This window comes from Homo sapiens, chromosome 10 (assembly GCF_000001405.40).
Source record: "Homo sapiens chromosome 10, GRCh38.p14 Primary Assembly".
In the NCBI taxonomy this organism is placed as follows: Eukaryota; Metazoa; Chordata; class Mammalia; order Primates; family Hominidae; genus Homo; species Homo sapiens.
In genome coordinates, this window is record NC_000010.11 from 119,359,954 (window position 1) to 119,378,758 (window position 18,805).

At 50.7% G+C, this 18,805-nt stretch overlaps 1 protein-coding gene and 1 non-coding gene across 2 annotated transcripts in view, besides 1 other annotated feature; both read left to right on the forward strand.

Moving 5' to 3' along the window:
* Nucleotides 1-18,805, forward strand: part of GRK5 (G protein-coupled receptor kinase 5) — a 252,175-nt gene that overhangs the window by 152,383 nt on the left and 80,987 nt on the right. The window lies entirely within an intron of this gene.
* Nucleotides 9,174-9,493: an enhancer, noted in NCBI's record as "active region_4118". NCBI's record gives its function as "activates an Ori minimal core promoter by ATAC-STARR-seq in GM12878 lymphoblastoid cells {active_cell/tissue: GM12878}" and the evidence as "EXISTENCE:reporter gene assay evidence [ECO:0000049][PMID:35858748]".
* Nucleotides 18,019-18,090, forward strand: MIR4681 (microRNA 4681). Its single transcript, NR_039829.1, has one exon. It is a non-coding gene; the product is annotated as a microRNA 4681 (primary transcript).

Consider the following 18,805-nt stretch of genomic DNA (forward strand, 5'->3'; position numbering starts at 1 on the left):
GGGGGCTTGAGGAGGCTGGGGAGGCTGAGGAGGCGGAGGGAGGCTGAGGAGGCTGAGGAGGTGGAGGGAAGCTGAGGGAGGTAGAGGGAGGTGGAGGGAGACTGAGGGAGGTGGAGGGAGGTTGAGGAGATAGGGGGAGGCTGAGGAGGCCGAGGGAATCTGAGGGAGGCAGGGAGGGAGGCTGAAGAGTCTGAGGGGGTGAAGGAAGTTGAGGGAGGCTGAGGCTGAAGGAGGCTGAAGGACTCTGCTCTTTGGGTAGAACTTCCTGTTTCTCATGTTTCCTCTCTGTAGACCACAGTGCCCAGCCCTGCCCCAAAGCAGAGCCAGAGCTTGTGTCCATTTCTTGGGTGTGTAGTGTGCCTTTGGCTTCTCTTTAGTTGTGCCTTGGAATGGCACACGGGGCTGGGTGGGATTCTGGAGGCGCTTAGTGGGTGGCTTCTCAGAGCTCAGGCCACAGCCCTTGTGAGTGGGAAGAGTCTGTGTGAGTGGGAGGAGCCTGTGTGAGTGGGAGGAGTCTGTGTGAGTGGGAGGAGCCTGTGCGAGAGGGAGGAGCCTTGTGAGTGGGAGGAGCCTGTGTGAGTGGGAAGAGCCTGTGTGAGTGGAAGGAGCCTGTGTGAGTGGGAAAAGTCTGTATGAGTGGGAGGAGCCTGTGTGAGAGGCAGGAGCCTGTGTGAGTGGGAAGAGACTTGTGAGTGGGAGGAGACTGTGTGAGTGGGAGGAGCCCCTCTCGCAGCTCCATGGTCAAGTGTTTGAGGCTAAGTTAGGAGAAGATGGTCTGTCCGTCCTCTTCCTCCCTCCTCCCTCCTCCTCTTCCACACCCGGCCCGGGGCCCTTTGCTCTGGGTCATGCTCTGTTCCCAGGCCCTGTGGGGATGCTGGGAACCCTGGGAACACAGCTCCCTTCCTGCCCGAGGCCCTGAGCGTTCTGAGCCTGTGGCCGCTGCTTCTCTGGTGGGAAACGGTGGTTTCCTCTTGAGGGAAGTGTTAGTCGCTGCCTTTCCCTCCCTCTGATTCCCAAGGATGAGTCTCTTTGGGACAGCAGGTGCCTCTGGGAAGGTCTCCTGGCTAGGTGGGCTCTGGCTCCCTGGGAGTACTGTGGGCTTTGGAGCCAAAAAGACCTGGACGCAGATCCCAGCTCCTCCGCTGATGCACTGTGACCTTGGGCAATGCACAGACCTTAAACTGGCTGTGCCCTGGTTTTCTGTCCAGCAGGACCGGGCAGTGCTGTCCACTCTACAGTGGAATGAAGGCAGAGAATGGCGCATCAGAGGTGCGGCTCATGGCAGGTGCTAAACACTTGGGAGTGTCTGGGCGCCTGGTGCGGGAACATGAGCAGAAGCCCCACCCCACTTGGATGTCTGGTGGTCTTCGCTGCTTTCTGACTGCCTAGATGGGGAGGCCTCGAGGCCATCATGATTCAACCATTCTCTTACTCAGCAAGCCCTGACCACCATTCATTCATTCATCCATTCACTTCCGAGAACCTGCCGCGTAGTAGGCCTTGTTCTCTGCACTGGGGCACACAACCATGGATAAGACAGACCAGGACTTGTGCTCCAATTCTATGTTGAAGGTGAGGGAAGAAGTTAATTAAGCAATCAGCCAAGCGGATTTCAAAGGACAGCTGTGCTGCACGCCACTGAGGAGACGTGAGAGGAATCCTGGCTAGGGGCCTATGCTGGGTGCCCGGCAGTGGGGGAGGCGCAGAGGGGGTTCAGAATTGAAAGGCTGGGTGCGGTGGTTCATGCCTGTAATCCCAGGACTTTGGGAGGCTGAGGCGGGCAGATCACTTGAGGTCAGGAGTTCGAGACCAGCCTGGCCAACATGGCGAAACCCTGTCTTTACTAAAAATACAAAAATTAGCCAGGCGTAGTGGCGTGCACCTGTAATTACAGCTGCTCGGGAGGCTGAGGCAGGAGAATTGCCTGAACCTGGGAGGTGGAGGTTGCAGTGAGCCGAGGTCGCACCACTGCACTCCAGCCTGGGTGACAGAGCGAGACTCTATCTCAAAAAAAAAAAAAAAAAAAAAAAAAAAAAAGAATTGAAAGGCAGCCTTGACCTTAGGAAGTGTGCTCACCAGCTGCAAGCTGTCCCACCTCCATACTCAGTGATTATTGGAGGTGATGCTACTACAAGAAGGAATAATATTTTAAAGAATAAAGTCAGTTCTTAGGAAGCCGGTAGTAACCCTGTAACAATCTGGTGTTTAATCATTTAGATAAAGCCATAGCCTGGGGTCAAAGATTGGCTGGAGGTGTGCCTGGAGCATTAAGCTCATGCTCACCACCAAACTTCCTGTCCCTTGTAAGTAAGTCAGTGTCATCCCAGGTGCTGGCATGGCCAGTTTAGGATCACCCTTTGCCTGTGCCTTTGGGGAACCCCAGGACACTTGAGTCTGAATGGCCTGATGTGGCTAGGACAAGGGCAGTCTTGCGCAACTCTTCCATCTTGGGAAAACAAATGTGATTCCTAATGTGTTGCCTCGAGTTCCTGGAACCAGGGTGTTTGTTTTATGTAATAGACAGCAGAGACCATTCTGTTGACTTCAGAGCCTTCCTGCATCTAAACTATAACTCTTCATAAAATGTCCTTTCAATGTGGTTTATCCAGGATATCGCAGGGAAGGAAGACTAAATAGTGTCTCACAGGGAAGAAGAACATTCTGCATTTCAGGTCACCACCTTGAGATACGAACACGTGCTTTTGAGATTTGGGGACCTTAATTCCTCTGGGAAACTCCTCTCTTTGCTGAGTGCTGGGGCTGCCCAAGAAGCATGGGACCCTTGGAGCCTTATTATAGCCCCATGGGTCAGACTGAAGATCAGGTGGGTACATTGTGTTTGAAGCAACATCTGTATCTCCCAAGCCACGGCAAAGGAGCATCTGAAACTCATCCAGATTTAGTAGATGAGACTAAGCTGGTGAACACTCAGTTCCATTTAACCCCTTATTGGCAGCCTATGCTCACACTCTTTCCTGGTTGGCAAGTGAAGAAGGTGGGTATAGGGGATTTTGGCAAGGATGTTAGTGGATAGAGTATTTTTTGACTGGGCATGGTGGCTCATGCCTGTAATCCCAGCACTTTGGGAGGCTGAGGCGGGTGGATCACCTGAAGTCAGGAGTTCAAGACCAGCCTGGCCAACATGGTGAAACCCTGTCTCTACTAAAAATACAAAAAATTATCTGGGAGTGGTGGCAGACGCCTGTAATCCCAGCTACTCGGGAGGCTGAGGCAGGAGAATCGCTTGAACCCAGGAAGCAGAGGTTGCGGTGAGCCAAGATTGCATCACTGCACTCCAGCCTCGGCGACAAGAGTGAAACTGTCTCAAAAAAAAAAAAAAACAACAAACAGTAGTTTCTGAGGACGAACCTTGCACCAGGAGCTGTGCTAAGTGCCTTGATTGATCTGTACCTTCTAGATAGGTCATACTATTATTATTTCTATTCTAGGACCAGGGAAGTAAATCTGAGAAAAGGTCATGCAGCTAGTACGTGGTTGTAGAAGGCAGAGTATAGGTTCAGCTGCTGTAGCAAAGACCTAGACTAACATTGGCCTAAACAAGGTGGAAGCCGGTTTGTCCCTCATGGAACAGTGCTGGGGTTGGGGTCTACTAGGGCTGCTATGGAAACTCTGTCTGCATGGTCACCCAGTTCCCAGTCTTTTTCTGGCCTTACAATGTTGCCCTCGTTGACATGGGCCAAGATGGTGCCCACTGTGTTTACATTCTAGCCTCTGGGAAGAGGGAAGCTGGGAGGGGAAGAAGGGGCACACCTTTTCTCTTTAAGGGTGTTACTCAGAACTAACTTGGATCTGTTGTTTCTGTTCACATTCCATTGGTCAAAATTTGGTCACCTAGCCACCCCTAGCTGCAGAGGTGGCAGGGAAGTCTTTCTTTTGGAGCTAAAAATGGGAGATCTATTACTATAGAAAACATGATGAACAGCTATTGGGTGACAGCTAGTGTTTCTGTCCCAGAGGTGGAGCTGGGATATGCGTCCAGGAGGACTATGCATGGGTTCACGCCTCTCCCTCTTCACTACCTCCTCCTGGAGGACATCTAGGTCAGCATCAAGGAAGAAGAGTCCGGAGCTAGACCAAGATCCTTGGGCAGGGGTGGCGGGTATTTCTGCTGATCCTCGGATTCTCTGGGCCTAGCACAGTGTAGGGCGCAAAGCAGGGTTCAGTAAATCCATCTTAAAGAAAGGGAGGGAGAGGGAGCCAGCCTTGCAGATCCAACCCCAGCCCAATGAGCTGAGCAAACCTGGATGTGAATCTAAGGGGGCTGGGAACTGAGACACCAATAGCCAGAAGGCAGCTGGGTCTGGAGGGGTTCCCTTGGGGGTGGAGCTCTGCAACTGCTTTGGGCTGGACCAGAGGTTCAGGGTATCCTTTTGGCTCCCAGGGCTTAACCCCAAGATTGAAGGACATCTGTGAGCTTTGCTTCCAGAATGGAAATTTTTTAAGAAGCCACCTTTGGGAGGAACTGAATCTCTGTCCTGGTGGTGGTTGCTTGGGCCATGCCATATACTTTCTGAATTTGGTTGCAGCTGCTTGTAGGTCCGTGTTTGTCAGCTGCTGCCCCCAAGTAAGGCTGTCTGCAAGGAAGGGTCTCTGCCTCCCTCCTGCTGTACCCCAGCTGCCCACTTTAGCTGGCCCTGACTTATCTAGTACAAAATGCAGTTACGGTCTGACCTTTCAGAACCCCGGGCCCCCATGAAGGCATCCTTGAAGGGCTTTCAAAGGCAGCATACTGCATATGAGGAGTTTAAAGTTTGCCTGTCTCTGTGACTGTATTTTCTGAGCAAAGCTTTTCTCCATGCAGGTGCGCAGAAGGAAAAATAAGTAAGCATAAGAGGTTCCAGTTTGGAATTTTTCAATCATCTGAATGTTGTTCTTGGCAAGGAGTAATTTAAAACAGCTGTTATGGGTTACATTTTTAGACCAGTTAGAAATAAGGGTTTCACCACAATCATATTCTTTGATCATCCTAATTATTTTTTTTTCTTTTTCCCAGTTATCTCTCTTGTGCTGAGTAACTGAGGAGCTACCTATCAGGTTTAGCGTCAGTTACAGACCTGTTTCAAGCCTGGCAGTTGGAGGGAAGAGAAAAGCATTAACACGGAGCAGCAGCGCCCCAGGCTGAGACAGAGCTTACAAGGTCTAGACAGTTATGAAATATGTGGGACTCTTTAAAAAGAAAGAAAGAAGGAGAGAAACGCACATGTTTTAGGTTCTCCATGCTTGTATTCTGTATTTGTATAGCTGAGAAAGCTTTAGTTTAAAATAAGTGGTATTTGGCAAGCAGTGGTATTGCATGCTGACAAATTGATTGTGCTCTTTTACTTAGATAAAAATGAAAATGCATGAGGCATGTTGCTTTTTTCCCCCTCTTGATGATTAAAAAACGTCTACTTGGCTCTCTGCAGAGACAGCCCTTGAAGATTTATATGAAACACCTGTGTGGCATCGATCACAGGCCTTCAGGCTGACAGAAGCAGCTATGCTTCATGGCGGTTAAAATGCCAGGTCCTGGGAGGGGGTTTGGAAAGACCTGAATAAGGGTCTGTATGCCAGGCTTGGGTGGGACCCTTCGGTGAGGGTCTTTGAATTTTAATAAAGGACCTCCCCACGCTGTTCATAATGATGTAGGGCTTAGAGCAGCTAGGCAGGAGGCTAAGCATGCCCTGGGGTGATGAACAAGACAAAAGCCTTCCCCTACCCGGCCTCAGTTTCCCCACCAGGAAGATGAGGCCATCAGACTAGCTTTCCTTTCGGTTTTCTACAAGCTCTATGACTATGTTCCCCTCAACACACCCTTTCTTAGGCTCTGGCGTTATTGGGCCATAAAGGATGAGGATGTCAGTGCAGACAAGGCACTCCGCTTCCTGTGTAGCAGTTCACAGCCTGGGCCAGCACAGGGAGAAATTTGGAAACAAGTATGTTATGATGCAGCCATCAGCTGCAGTTGATGTGTTGGGTCATGAATTCATTCATTCATTCACTGGTCAAACGTTATTGCACCCCGGCTCTGTGCCAGGTTCTATGCTGGGTGCCAACATGTGCAGGGAACTAAGCGACCTGGTCCCTGACTGCTCCAAGTCGGGTCCACCCCATTTGGGCTTCTGTCCTGTTGGCTTAAGGACTTGCCCTGGTGTAGGTCTCAGCACAGGAATGTGCTGTGAAATGCAATTCCAACACCCTATTAAAGCCAAGCATTTACTTCTGGACCCCGGGGACTTTAAGACACACCCTTAAGGAGCAACGGATTTGTTTTGACAAAAGGAGTGTAAACAGGATCCTGGTGAATAGCTTTCTCATGGCTGCTCCTGCTTTCATCAATTGCATATTTATTGGTGACCTCATAAGTGTCCAGACTGTCCTGGGCTCTACAGGGGAGGCAAAGGGGGTGGCGGAGGAGAGAGAGAATTTACAGCTTAGTTGGGGAGGCAAGGCCAGCTCTCAGGATAGCCAGCGAAGGTGTGAGACAGCACATCAGTTACATGATCACACATGTGGTGCAGCTCACAGAACTGAAGGAACTCAGGGCAGGAGGGGGGCAGCTACTCGGCTCAGCTTTTCTTTTTGGGAAGAGCAACGGAAGAAAGGGCATTCCAGATCATTCTCCTGGCCCAGCCACTAGATGTTGAGGCCCAGTTGATAGCCAGCCCCAAAGCTGCCACAGCTTTCCCATGTCTTTCTATCCTGGAGGCTGGAGCACCCCTGGACCTGAGGAAATTGATTGACCAATAGGTCATTGGTACATCTAGGTGACAGGGGTGCCTCCTCCCCACCGTGGACCCCTAGAGGTTGCCAGATGGTGCCACTGATGTGATGTCATCCACCTCTCAGGGTCCCGAGTCTTTGTCTGCTGCTGCCATGGATCCCTTAAAAGTTAAAAGATGCAGAATAATTGTTCTGCTGTCAGCAAGAGCTGAGTTCACATCCCAGCTCTGCCTCTTGCTAGCCTGTGACCTTGTGCCATTTCCTTCTCAGTGTCTCGATTTTAGGCATCTAAAATGTGGGCTGATGATAGCACCTGTTCTGGAAGGCTGTTGTGAGGATTGCATGAGACATGCATGTAGTGTGCCTAGCATTGTGCCTGGTACGCAGGAAGCACCTCATTCATGTCAGTTGCTATTGTTTCCATTATTGTTATTATAATACATCAGGTGGCAAAGTGGAAAGGCCAGTGTCTGAACCAAAGCTCATGTCTTTCTGAAAACCAGCTCTACCAAACTCTAAAGATCCGTGTCGAAAATCCCGACACCACGAGCTAGAATTCTGCTAAGCTCTAGCCTTCCCTGTGTTAGATTCTGCTGAAGCAATGTGCCTCTCCCCCATCTCTCATCTGGAGTGTGGGCATTGGTGAGCTCGTGTGCCTGTGAAACACCCATCTCTTCCTCCTTCAGGACACGAAGCCTAGCCCTTCTTGAGTCTGGGGCCAAGCTGAGCAAAGATGGAAGGAGGCTTGGCAAGAGTTGATGTCATTTGACATTTAATCACCAAAGACCCAGATTGGGTCCCAGCGAGTTAAACCCACTGCGCCCTGTTCTTGGGCAGACAGGGTTGGGGTGTGGTCACATGGTTGGCTGGGAGAATCGGAGCTGTATCTAAGACTCTAAGAGCACAGAATAATTGCTTTCAAACATTTGTCCTCTACATCCCAAGAATGACAGCCAAAGGGCAGTATAACAGAAAGACAGGCTTGGTCTCAAAATGGGAATGGCCTCACAGCATGGTGTTGATAAAGAGTATTGGATGCTCTGCAGGTGAAGTGCTTCCTGTCCCTGTGAGTGCACACGCCAGGGCTGGCTGAGCCCTTGATGGGGATCATGTTGGGAGGATTAAGGGTGGCTGGGGGTCTTGGGACCCTGAGACATCAGGACTTTCAGGAGACCATCAGTTGCCTCCACCTTCCGAGGCATTCATTTCTCCAGCTGCTTTTGGCCAGCACAGCCGTGATCCTCGCTAGACCCCGGCCAGTGGCCCAGGAAGAAGCCAGGCGCCTCGGCAGGGCCAGGGCAGGAAGAGCCAGGTCTGCCTGGAAGCTGCTATTTGCCTTGGTCCCTGGCTTGCCCAGCCGTTTCCTGGCCCGGCCCTCCGTGGCTTTTGCTTGATTAGCTCATAGCTCCAGGGGAAGCCAGACCCCGGGCCCTGGAAGGCAAGATGGGCCCCCAGTCCTCCCTGGCAGGCCAGGGCAGCGTGCAGGAAGGATGGGCTGGGCATTGCCATGTGAAGTCAACCTGAAATGCACTTGGGAGAGACTGAGGCACTGAGCGGAAGTAAAGACTCCCAGATTTCCTGAAATGAAAGCCAGGGCTCCTTGGCGCCCCTCAGAGCCCCAGGCCTCTGCGAAATGCTGCCTTTAAACTCATGCTTGTGTTGCTCCAGCCGTATTGCCACGTCGCAGGTGCGGGGTGGTGCTGGGGGCGGGGGATGGCAGCTGGGTGGGTTTAAAGATCCCCAGCAGTGGTGAACCCTCCTTGGGGCTCTGACGCTGGAGAAAGGCCCCATGCCCTGTGATGTCTCCATTCCCACCAGGCTCACAGCCCCACTGTGAAGCTACCGAAATGGGAGGCATTTAAGCCCCCCTTGTTCATCAGCCCTATTTTGTAAAAGGGGAAACCAAGGTCCAGAGAGAAGAATGATGGGTCAGAGGTCATGCAGGGTCAGACGTGGAGCTGGACACAAAGCCCAATCTCCTAGCCCCAGTCCCATGCACCGATGTGCTTTCTCGAAAGGGGCATGCCAGGCAGGGCCCCTGGGCTCAGACCGCCTCACTTCTGGGGGCTCTGGGCTTACTGTGCTGCAGCTCTGAGCAGCAGGCAGCCTGGCCCAGCCTTGCCTCCGCCCAGGGACCTGAGCCCAGGGAGCCATGCTGACCCTTTCGTTGCCTTGGACAGAAGCCACCTTAGGCACAGCCCTCATCATCTACTTGGTTCAGGGAGGCCTTCACTTCTGGCAGAGCATCAGGAGAACGTGGGCTGGAGATATATACTCCCCAGTTTGGAAGCGTGTGGCCTCCCTGTCACAGTGATCTGTTTGTTGGTTTGTTCAATCATTCATTCATTTTAGATAAACACCTGTGCTCCTGCCTGGGCCGGGCACTGATCCAGGTGGTGGGGATAAAATGGTGAACTGGACCTTACAGTTAATGCAGTGTTGGAATCACCTAGGGAGCTTTTTAAGAAAATACTGACGCCCTGGAGATTTGATGCAGTCGGTCTGGGTGTGGCCTAGGAGTTTCACTTTCTAAAACTGCATGTATCTGGATGAAATTTCTTTACAAGGAGAAAAAAGGTTGTAGAAAGAATGTCCTTCTAAGTGGATGGTGTCCCAGGTGCTTTTAGGCGGAGCACAGGTGAGGAAAGGCCCTGGGTGTTCAAGACACAAACAGTGGTCATCACTGACCAAGGCTGTCCCAGGTGCCCCGTCCCGGCTCACTGGAAGGTCCCGCCACAGGCCACGCAGGGTAAAACAAACCCGAAGTTCTTCTGAGCAGCTGCGCATTCCCCAGGCCCCGCACGGAAAGGAGAGCTGTCTGGCAGTCACAGTTCTTTGCTTTCCAGGCTCTTCCTGATCTCAGTGATTTTGCAGCTGTGCTTTTAGGAGAGCTGTTTTCCCCTCATTTGTAAAAACTCAAAAATATGGAAAAATAGAAACAACCACAGGTCACGCATGGGTGTGTTTCCTTTTTGCCCCGGCTCTTAAAGCACCAGCACTGCTGATGCGCCAGGTGCCTTTTCTGCGGACGCCTCTTTGGTGTCCCCAGGCTAGCACAAAAGTGGAGGTTGCAGTCAGCCTGCCGGGCTTCCGGGCAGAGGAGAGGGCTCAGAGCACAGTGCTTTGGACCTTCTTTCCGATATGCCAGGCCCCTTCCAGCGACTGCCTGTCCAGCATCAGGATCTACCTGCCAAGTGGTCCTGCCGTTCCCTCAGTCCACCCCCACCCCTGACCCTCCGTTTACCCAGCCAGTTCTTTGCCCATTCCCACTGCAAGGAGATATCTAAATTGTTTGCCTTTTTTGTCCTTGGTGATAGAGGTCACTGCCGGACTCTGGCAGCTCCATTACTGCTCATGGTGATGGTATAGTCCATGTCCTGTCCATCTCAGCCCCCAGCCCTTCCCCAGACTCCTGGATACCTCCCTGACTGCATCTGATGGGTTCAAGCCAGAGACCTGGACCCTCATCAGAGAGGCAGGGGCCCGCACAAGCACCCTTCCACCCACCCTTTTCTTCCTTCCACAGACCCACAGCCTAGAGCCTTCTTTCCTCCCCACTGTCCCCGCCACACTTCCCCTGCCTGGCAGCCCAGGCCCAGACACCCTGCGATTCAGTGGTTTCACATGTGGCTTCTCCAAGTGCCACCAAACTTTGTGAGACTTGGGCTTAATAATTTCGATCCCACAGAAACATGTGACAAGCACAAGACATTCCGTAAAACTAGAGCCCAGAACGAGAGGGACGAATGGCACAGGAAGATGGCAGGGCTTGGTTTGGGTGTGTTTGTGTGACACACCATATGTCATTTTTTATTCACACAAAAACATCTTTCTTGAAGTAATAGAAGGCCACTCAGCTGTTGCTAACCACATACCAAATGTTTCCTTTTTCCTCTCCTGCGCCTTCCAAGGGGCGGGCTGGGAAGCTCTGCTGTTATCCGTGATGCCATCTCGCCTTTCAAACGTCAGAGAGCTTTTTCCTCGGAGCAAACGCCCGATTGTTTTTTCCAGCTTTGGCAGGAATTTTTAAGAGAAAGCTGTTTTCGAATCACTTCTCTGTTTATTGTTTCAAACCTGAAATACGGCAGAGTAGAGGGCTGGCAGCCTCTGTCTGATCCTCTCTCCCCATGTCCATTTCCTAAATTGCATTAGGATCTATCAGGGACCCCCTTCTCTGCCACAGCCCCCCGTAACCTGGTATTTTGGGAAAATGAAGTTAAATAAAATAAAATAAACCTTCAGTTGGTGGAGAGATGGTTCCAGGCATCCCTTTGGACACCCCCCTCCTTCCACCCCCCCGCCCCACTCCAGCCTCACAACCTTTACAATCAACATGTGGTTTCATTTCCAAGAGCCCCAGTGTTAGCATTTCCATTTCCTCAGGAAGCCGCGTTCCGTCCTTGCTCTTACTTCTGAAATTGAACGTGTGTTTTCCTTGGCCCGAGCTCTAGGAGTGCCTGGGGCAACAATGCACACAGTCCCAAGCAGGTTTCAGTGGGGTGGACAGCCCTCCCCGCACCCGGGCTGCAGCTTCTCCCCGCTCCCCGTCCCCAGGGATGGCCGCCCACTCTCCCCTAGCCCGGTGGGAGGGCCTGGCTGTGCTCGGGCCCCGTGGCCATCCGAGGGAAGCTGGGCCGCCCTCACTGCCTGTGTCCTCGCCACCTCCTATTGGGAAACTCTGGTTGCCCTCCAAGAGTCCACATACTGCAGGCTCTTAATTAAGAAAGTATGTTCCCATTTCATGTCACTCGAAAAGAATGAAAACAGTGACAGCATTTATTTATCTTAACTATCAATATCATTCCTGTTTCTCAGTCCGCTGGGGGTATGAGTCTTGAAGGAATTGACTGGGTTATGAGATTTGAACCTCGGGCATGTGCTGGTGGGACACATGTGGCCTGCTTCCGAGAAGGAGCCTTGAAGGAAGAGCAAGCAGGCTGGCATGGCCCTGCCCTGCCCTGCCCTCCCGGAGCTCAGGGCCGAAGGGCTCGGTGACAGTGGGGAACTCCTGCCTGCTTTGGTGCTAATGGAGAGTCAAGGTTCCTTTTTCACCAGCTACCTCCTATCTCCTTTCTCAGTCATCGGAGAAGTAAAACCCATCATTTCCTGAGTCTGATAGAGGAGATAGGATCTGTCCAGTGGCTGCTGTTTCTGTGGCACCTACTGTGTGCTGAGGCTGGGCCAGGTGCTCACATGCGTTGTTGCCAATCCCCGGCAGCAACCAGCTAACTCTGATGGCCTCAGGTAAAGGGACTTGCCCAAGACCACACAGCCATCCAGAGTTGCTCCACTGTGGAGACACTATTGCCATTTGGAGCAGAATAATTATGTGTGGCAGGGAGCTGTCCTGTGCATTGTGGGGTATTTAGCACATCCCTGGCCTCCACCCACTAATCAGTAGTAACCTCACAGTTGTGATAACACAAAATGTCTACAGACATTGCCAAAATTTCCCGCTGCTGAAAACCTCTGAGCTAGGGGATGGAGGTAGGATTCAGACCCAAGCCTGTGCTTGTTCGCCACCCTGTGCTAGCTCTGAAGAAGTCCTCACCCAAGCAAGGCAACCCTGCTTGCCTTTAGGATCCAGGCAGCGTGGTAGTGCTTTGGTGTTTCTGAACTATGTACTAATCAGCTATAGATATAGGCATTCTAGAATATTCATGAGGATCCAACTTCGTGGTGGAGGCTGAGGACAGAAGTTCTTTAATAGTACTGCCCCATCTTGCTGTGGTGTCCTGACAGTGTAGCACTTTACTGCAAAGCCTTTGCATATAGGTTTTCATTTTGAGTCTTCCAGATACTCATTATATCTGAAGGCTTATTACTCAGCACCAATAAATTGCAAGGGACTGAAACCCAACTCAAACTAACTTAAGGGTTAGAGGAAGTCTGTTGGTTTATGTGACTGAAAAGTCCAGGGGTAAATCTCATAGCTTCAGGTATGGCTGGATCCAGGTCTCAAACATCATCAGGACACTATTTATTATTCTACTTTCTACAGTTTTGATTTCATTCTCTGACAGGTTCTTTCTATATGGCCACAAGATAGCCACCAGCAACTCCAGGCTTACATGGTCCTAAGAGTTAAAGGCTTCAAATAAAGAAAAAGTAACTTTCCTTAGAGTGCCAAAAAATGTTCAAGTAAAGACTCAGATTGGTAAGGCCTGGGCCCTGTGCTCATCTCCGAGCTTGGTGTTGGCCTCACCCAAAGAATTATTATAGGGGAAGGGATGACTCTCCAAAGAAAGGAATACAAGACCTTGTGTTTCTAGAGCAGTTCAAAGTGTGGTTCGTGGACTGATTTTACTGGTCTGTGATAAGTACAGAGATGCTTAGAAACACTCATAGCAATTCGTTGTGGCTGTAGCATCCAGGTGTGTGATCAGTGGACTCATCTTGTGGAACAGGTGATAAAGCAGTTGGCTGTTGTCAGACTCACGTGGAAAGTTGGGAACAATGGAGATTTACAAAAGTATCAGTCCGTGATGGATTGGAAATTTAAAAAACTGGTTCTTTTCCATAGATAGCTGGAAAAGCACTGCTTTAAACTGGAGAGTATGTTAAAACACAGATTTCTGGGCCCTACCAGTGGAATTCTGATTCAGTCAGTAGGTGATATGGTTTGGCTATGTCCCCACCTAAATCTCATGTTGAATTGTAGCTCCCATAATTCCCACATGTGTGGGAGGGACCTGTTGGGAGGTAATTGAATCATGGGGATGGGTCTTTCCCATGCTGTTCTCATGATAGTGAATAAGTCTCACAAGATCTAATGGTTTTATAAAGGGGAGTTCCCTTGCAAACGCTCTGTCTTGCCTGCCACCATGTAAGACGTCCCTTGCTCTTCTGTCATGATTGTGAGGCCTCCCCAGTCACGTGGAACTGTGAGTCAAGTGAACCTCTTTCCTTTATAAATTACCCAGTCAGGTATGTCTTTATTAGCAGCATGAGAACAGACTAATATAGTAGGTCTGAAGTGGGGTGGGGGGAATGAGAATCTGCATTTTCAGTAGGCTCCCAGGTGGAATATTTTGAGAGTTACTGAAATGTGACACAGACAGGAAGTTCGCACATGCTGTTGGGGAAATGAAAATGGTGCGGATAGACTTGCTCGACACGGGGTTGCCACAAACCTTCAATTCATATAAAAAATGCAATATCTGCAAAAGACAATAAAGTGAAGTGCAATAATACGAGTGTGCCTGCGTAGTCTGCGGAGGCTTTCACTACAACAGCGAGCTGAATCGTTGTGAAAGAGACCATATGGCCCTCAAACTACTACCATATGGCTAGTAGTAAATATCTCCCACTAGCCCTTTACAGAAAAGTTTGCCTACCCTTGCCTTAGAACCAGGGGGTGAGATGCGAGATCAGGAATCCCTATTGAGGTTGGATGGAAACAGTTTTTGGAATCCTGGTTGAAACTGACCTCCAAGGTTGATCTTGGAATCTGGTCTAAGTCCCTGTAATCATCTGCATTTGTGAAGCTGGCATGCCAAGAAGGTTTGCAGGTTGAGAAGGGGCTTAGAGGTTATTATTCGAACCCCCTTATTTTATGGATGAGGAAACTGAGACCAAGAAAGGGGAAGTGACTTGTCCAAGGTTACACAGAGAATTGATGGCAGAGCTGAGACCGACCCCTGCCCAGTGCTCATCCACTGTGGTGTCCTTGGCAACAGGCCTGGGGTGTGGTATCTTTAGTGGCTTACAATGAGAATAGGCTAAGAGGCAAGCGAGGTCTCTCCCAAGCACCCAAACCTCACCAGGTGAAGGTGGTGAGGACAGGGGCCCCTTGGCTTGCTGTGCCCTCTGTTGGTTGACGTACCCTCTGTTGGCTGACAACTTGGCAAGTGTGAGCCCTGTCCTGGGAAGGGCAGAGTTGGAAGTGAGTTGGCTGTGCCCAGGCCCCCAAGACGTGTGTTGCTTATTGTATGTGCATGTGTCTTAGCATGTGGATTTTCAGCCAGTTACATTCATTACCAAGGAAGTGTACTTGCTGGTACAGTTTGGATATTTGTCCCTGCCTAAGTCTCATGTTGAGATGTAATCCCTAATGTTGAGGTGGAGCCTGGTGGGAGGTGTTTGGGTCATGAGGGCATTGTTGGTGATAGTGAGTTCTTGTGAGATCTGGTTGTTGCAGTGTGGCACCTCCCCTTCAACTCTCCTCTGGCCATGTGACATGCCTGCTCCTGCTTCACCTTCTACCACGATTGTAAGCTTCCTGAGGCCTCCCCTGAAGCAGATGCCAGTGCTATGCTTCCTGTACAGCCTGTAGAACCATGAGCCAATTAAACGTGTTTTCTAATAAATTAACCAGGCTCAGGTATTTATAGCAATGCAAGAATGGCCTAATACACTTGCTGGCCACTCACTTAACACTACTTGCTGGTTCTCGCCCCTTCACGCCTCACCTCCCATCCCTGAGTGACCTACCACTTTCTGTCTGTTTTCTTTAGGACAGTCTTGAAGATCCACTCAGTGACATCCTATGGTGGTCTCAGACCTAGCCCAGAATTCTTGTCCTAATTCACCTTCTCCCACACTTCAGCACACCCTGCAGGTCCTCCTGGCATCTCACCTGGAGGTTTCACCTCCCCACTGTAGCTTCTCCTTGCCCCTCCTCCCAGCCTCAAGCCCCATTCTCTCTGGCTTTGACCTTTTTCCCTCTTCTTCACCTGGACTCAGCTTCTCCCCCTGCCTGCATTGTCTGCTCATTCCCATATTCTAGTGTGCTCTCCATGGCCACCACCCCTGAAACTGACCCAGCATCATGAGAGGATGTCTTGCCCCCTCTGCCACGACACCTTCCAGGACACTTCCCAATTGACTTATGCAGTTTTGTTACATAGACATTGTTATGTGGCTTCTCTTTCCAGTGTTATCCATGAATGTGCCTCCCTCTCACACTGGCCAGTGAGCAAACTGCTAAGGACAAGGACTAAGCAAGTGTCTGGTACCTTGCTAAAGGGACTGCCTGCTGGGTAGACATGGTTCTGTCTGAGCGCAAGGCTGGAATTCAGTGTGTTGCAGGAAGGTGTGGCAATCCCGCCTTCCCAGGCCAGCTGTGGGCATGCCGGGGAGGTGGGGAGTGTCAATCCCTTGAAGAAACAAACAACACATGTCGTTTTCTTGAAGCCAGTTCAGTCCAGCTGCTCACCAAAGCAGGATCCCAGCCGCAGGAGCTGGTAGCCTCCCTGCCCAAAAGCTGGGGCCTGAGCCCACAGGCCACAATAGCTCCCAAACCAATGACTTCCTCTGTAAATGTCTCAGACTTGCCGCCACCCCATTTTTGTCCCCTTTTCTGTGGACTGCACGTGAATCATTTTTGCTCTAAATTATTGATTTACCAGTGAGACACTGAATCCATTCCAGACTCCTGGCCTGAGAGTCCAGCCCTTTCCTGTGTGAGTCCAGCTTGCCTTCCCAGTGTATCTCCCAGCACCCTCCTGTGTGCATAAGTAGGCCTAGCCCCTCCCAGGGTGCTCTGCTCCTTAGTCAAGGGCACAGCTCAGTGCCCTGCAGCTTATGATGGGCTTTCTAGACCCTTCCCCTTTCCCAGTCACCTTCCTCTTCCAAATGTCACATCACAGAGATGATGTCCTCCATTCTTGGCCAGCTGTTAATTCCAAGCCTGTTGCTGGATCAGTAACCGGCCAGTGGGTATAAGATGTGTCCCTTCCCACTGACCCACCCACATATCCCCACGTGTTGAGTTCAAGAAGATACCCTTAACATCAAAGGAAACTTCTAGTATCAAAAAGCAGGAGACCTCAGAAGAGAGTTTGTTGAGTGAATGAAGGACCCAAAATAGCAAAGTTAGAATGGCTGGATGATTTGTGGATACTTAGGGGCCGAGGAGCTCCCCATACCCTACTCCCTAATGCCTTTTTTTTTTTTTTTTTTTTGAGACACAGTTTCACTCTTGTTGCCCAGGCTGGAGTACAATGGCACGATCTTGGCTCACTGCAACCTCCACCTCCCAGGTTCAAGCCATTCTTCTGCCTCAGCCTCCCAAGTAGCTGGGATTACAGGTGCCTGCCACCACGCCTGGCTAATTATTTTGTATTTTTAGTAGAGACAGGGTTTCACTATGTTAGCCAGGCTGGTCTTGAACTCCTGACCTCAGGTGATCCACCCGCCTCGGCCTCTCAAAGTGATGGGATTACAGGCGTAAGCCACCGTGCCTGGCCACTACTCCCAAATGTCTTACATAAAGCAGCCTCTTTCTGGCTTGGAGGAAAAGATCAATGAGGCACATGGAAAGCAGGAGTTCCATGTTCTAGAAGAGCAAGTGCGCATGCGCGTGCGTGTGTGTATGTGCGTGCGTGTGTGTGGACAGTGTGTGTGTGCCTGTGTGTACAGCATCCCAGTGTTCTCCCACCCCTAAAGATAGATTTGGAGACAGAGAGAAAAGTCTTCTGCCCTTGTCCTAGGTGTTTCTCCTCACCAACCCCAACAGACCACACTTTGGAGAAAGATTGTGGGCAGGCCCCCTTCCAAGCTGGATTTCAACAACATTGCCAGCTTCTGTTGAAACAGATCCGAAAGGGTCCACTCCAAGCATGTATCGTAGAACTTCTCATGCTTCCAACTTCAATGTCATTGACTTTCCAGAAGCAACCTATACCTCGGGTTTGCTCTTGATACATCAAGAACTTTGATTTGCGCCTCCTCCTGTCACCTTGATCATTCCCAAATTCGTATTCTTCCTTCTGTGGCCTCCTTATCCATTTCTATAGGAACTGTAAATGTTGCACTAGGGATGATTTTGTTTTTGTGTGTGTGCTTGCTCAGAAAATGAACCCATTGATCTTGATTTGAGGTGAAGAAAGAAATCTAAAAAGATCATTACTGGTCCTTTTATTTCTCTCTAGGCTTCCAACGAGTAGTTTTTTTGCCTGGGATCCTCTCTACAGCTGGGAGAGGCTCGGAACTGAGGTGCTGACAGCTTGTGTTGGAATCGCATGGTGTTTACTGTGCTGGGAGTTTATAACGGCCTTGTTTCCATACTGACAGCAAATGCCATATGGAGAGAAAAAAAAATCTGTCAAATGAACCCTTAAGGGATCACAATATGGCACATGAAATCTCAAAACTGCTTTTGGAAAAGGTGGGGGTAGAGGGGTACCTTGCTTAAATCACATAAGCAGCATGGTGCTCTCTCCCATAATTGAATAAAAATGGAATTTGACACAAGGTAATTTACTTTGGTTCTGTGTTTGTGCTGGGAAAAACTGATTGGGAAAGGATGCAAAGATTTGTTTTCCTCCCCTTGGGGGATTGTGTTGAGTGGGAGGCAACGGGAATGCAGGCTGTATCTGCAGGGCATTGTGCTAACAGGTGCAGGCTGCAGACCTGTCACAGGCCGCTGAGACCAGGTTCCCTACTGTGGCTGATGATCACACTCATCTAGCTTGACATTTTATTACTGTCATTTGAGATCTTGTCTGTTCACCCACACACACTCCTGCTGACCTCTCCAATCTGAGTCCAAGCTCCCTGCGGGCTGGGACCACATCCCTAGGTACCCCTCCCCGTCAGAACCTGGCACACACTGAGGCTAAATGCTTGTTGGAGTGGCTATTTGTGAACCATCTGTGCTGGGAGCGGTGGAGACTGCGCCCACGGCTGAAGGGCAGAGTTTAGGCTGCAGTCCAGGGCTAGTTGGAGCCACAAAACCATTTGAGAGTGGGCCAAGAGGGGACTTGGCAGGTTGCTCATCCATGCTGATCCAAATACTCACTCGGGAGAGAATGAAACGTTTTAGAGTGCCTTCTTCAACATACGCTACTTAGACCGGGCGAATTCCTCCCAAAAAAACCTTGCCCTCAGGTAGGTTACCCATGAAAGAAGGGGGCCTGGCCGCGGCTCTTTCCGTTCCAGGAGGCAGACAGCGGAGTGCTGAGGCCGTGTCCCCGTGTGGTGAATAAATGCCCGGGAGGGCGGGCTGCCTTCAGGGCTCCTCTCTCCGCTCATCTCCGCTTGTGTGCGGGCTGCGCCTCCGTGGGCTCTCGCTGCGTGGGGGGAAGGCGGTCTCAGCAGCCCTCGGCTGACCAGTCATCCCCAAGAACCCTGCTGGCAT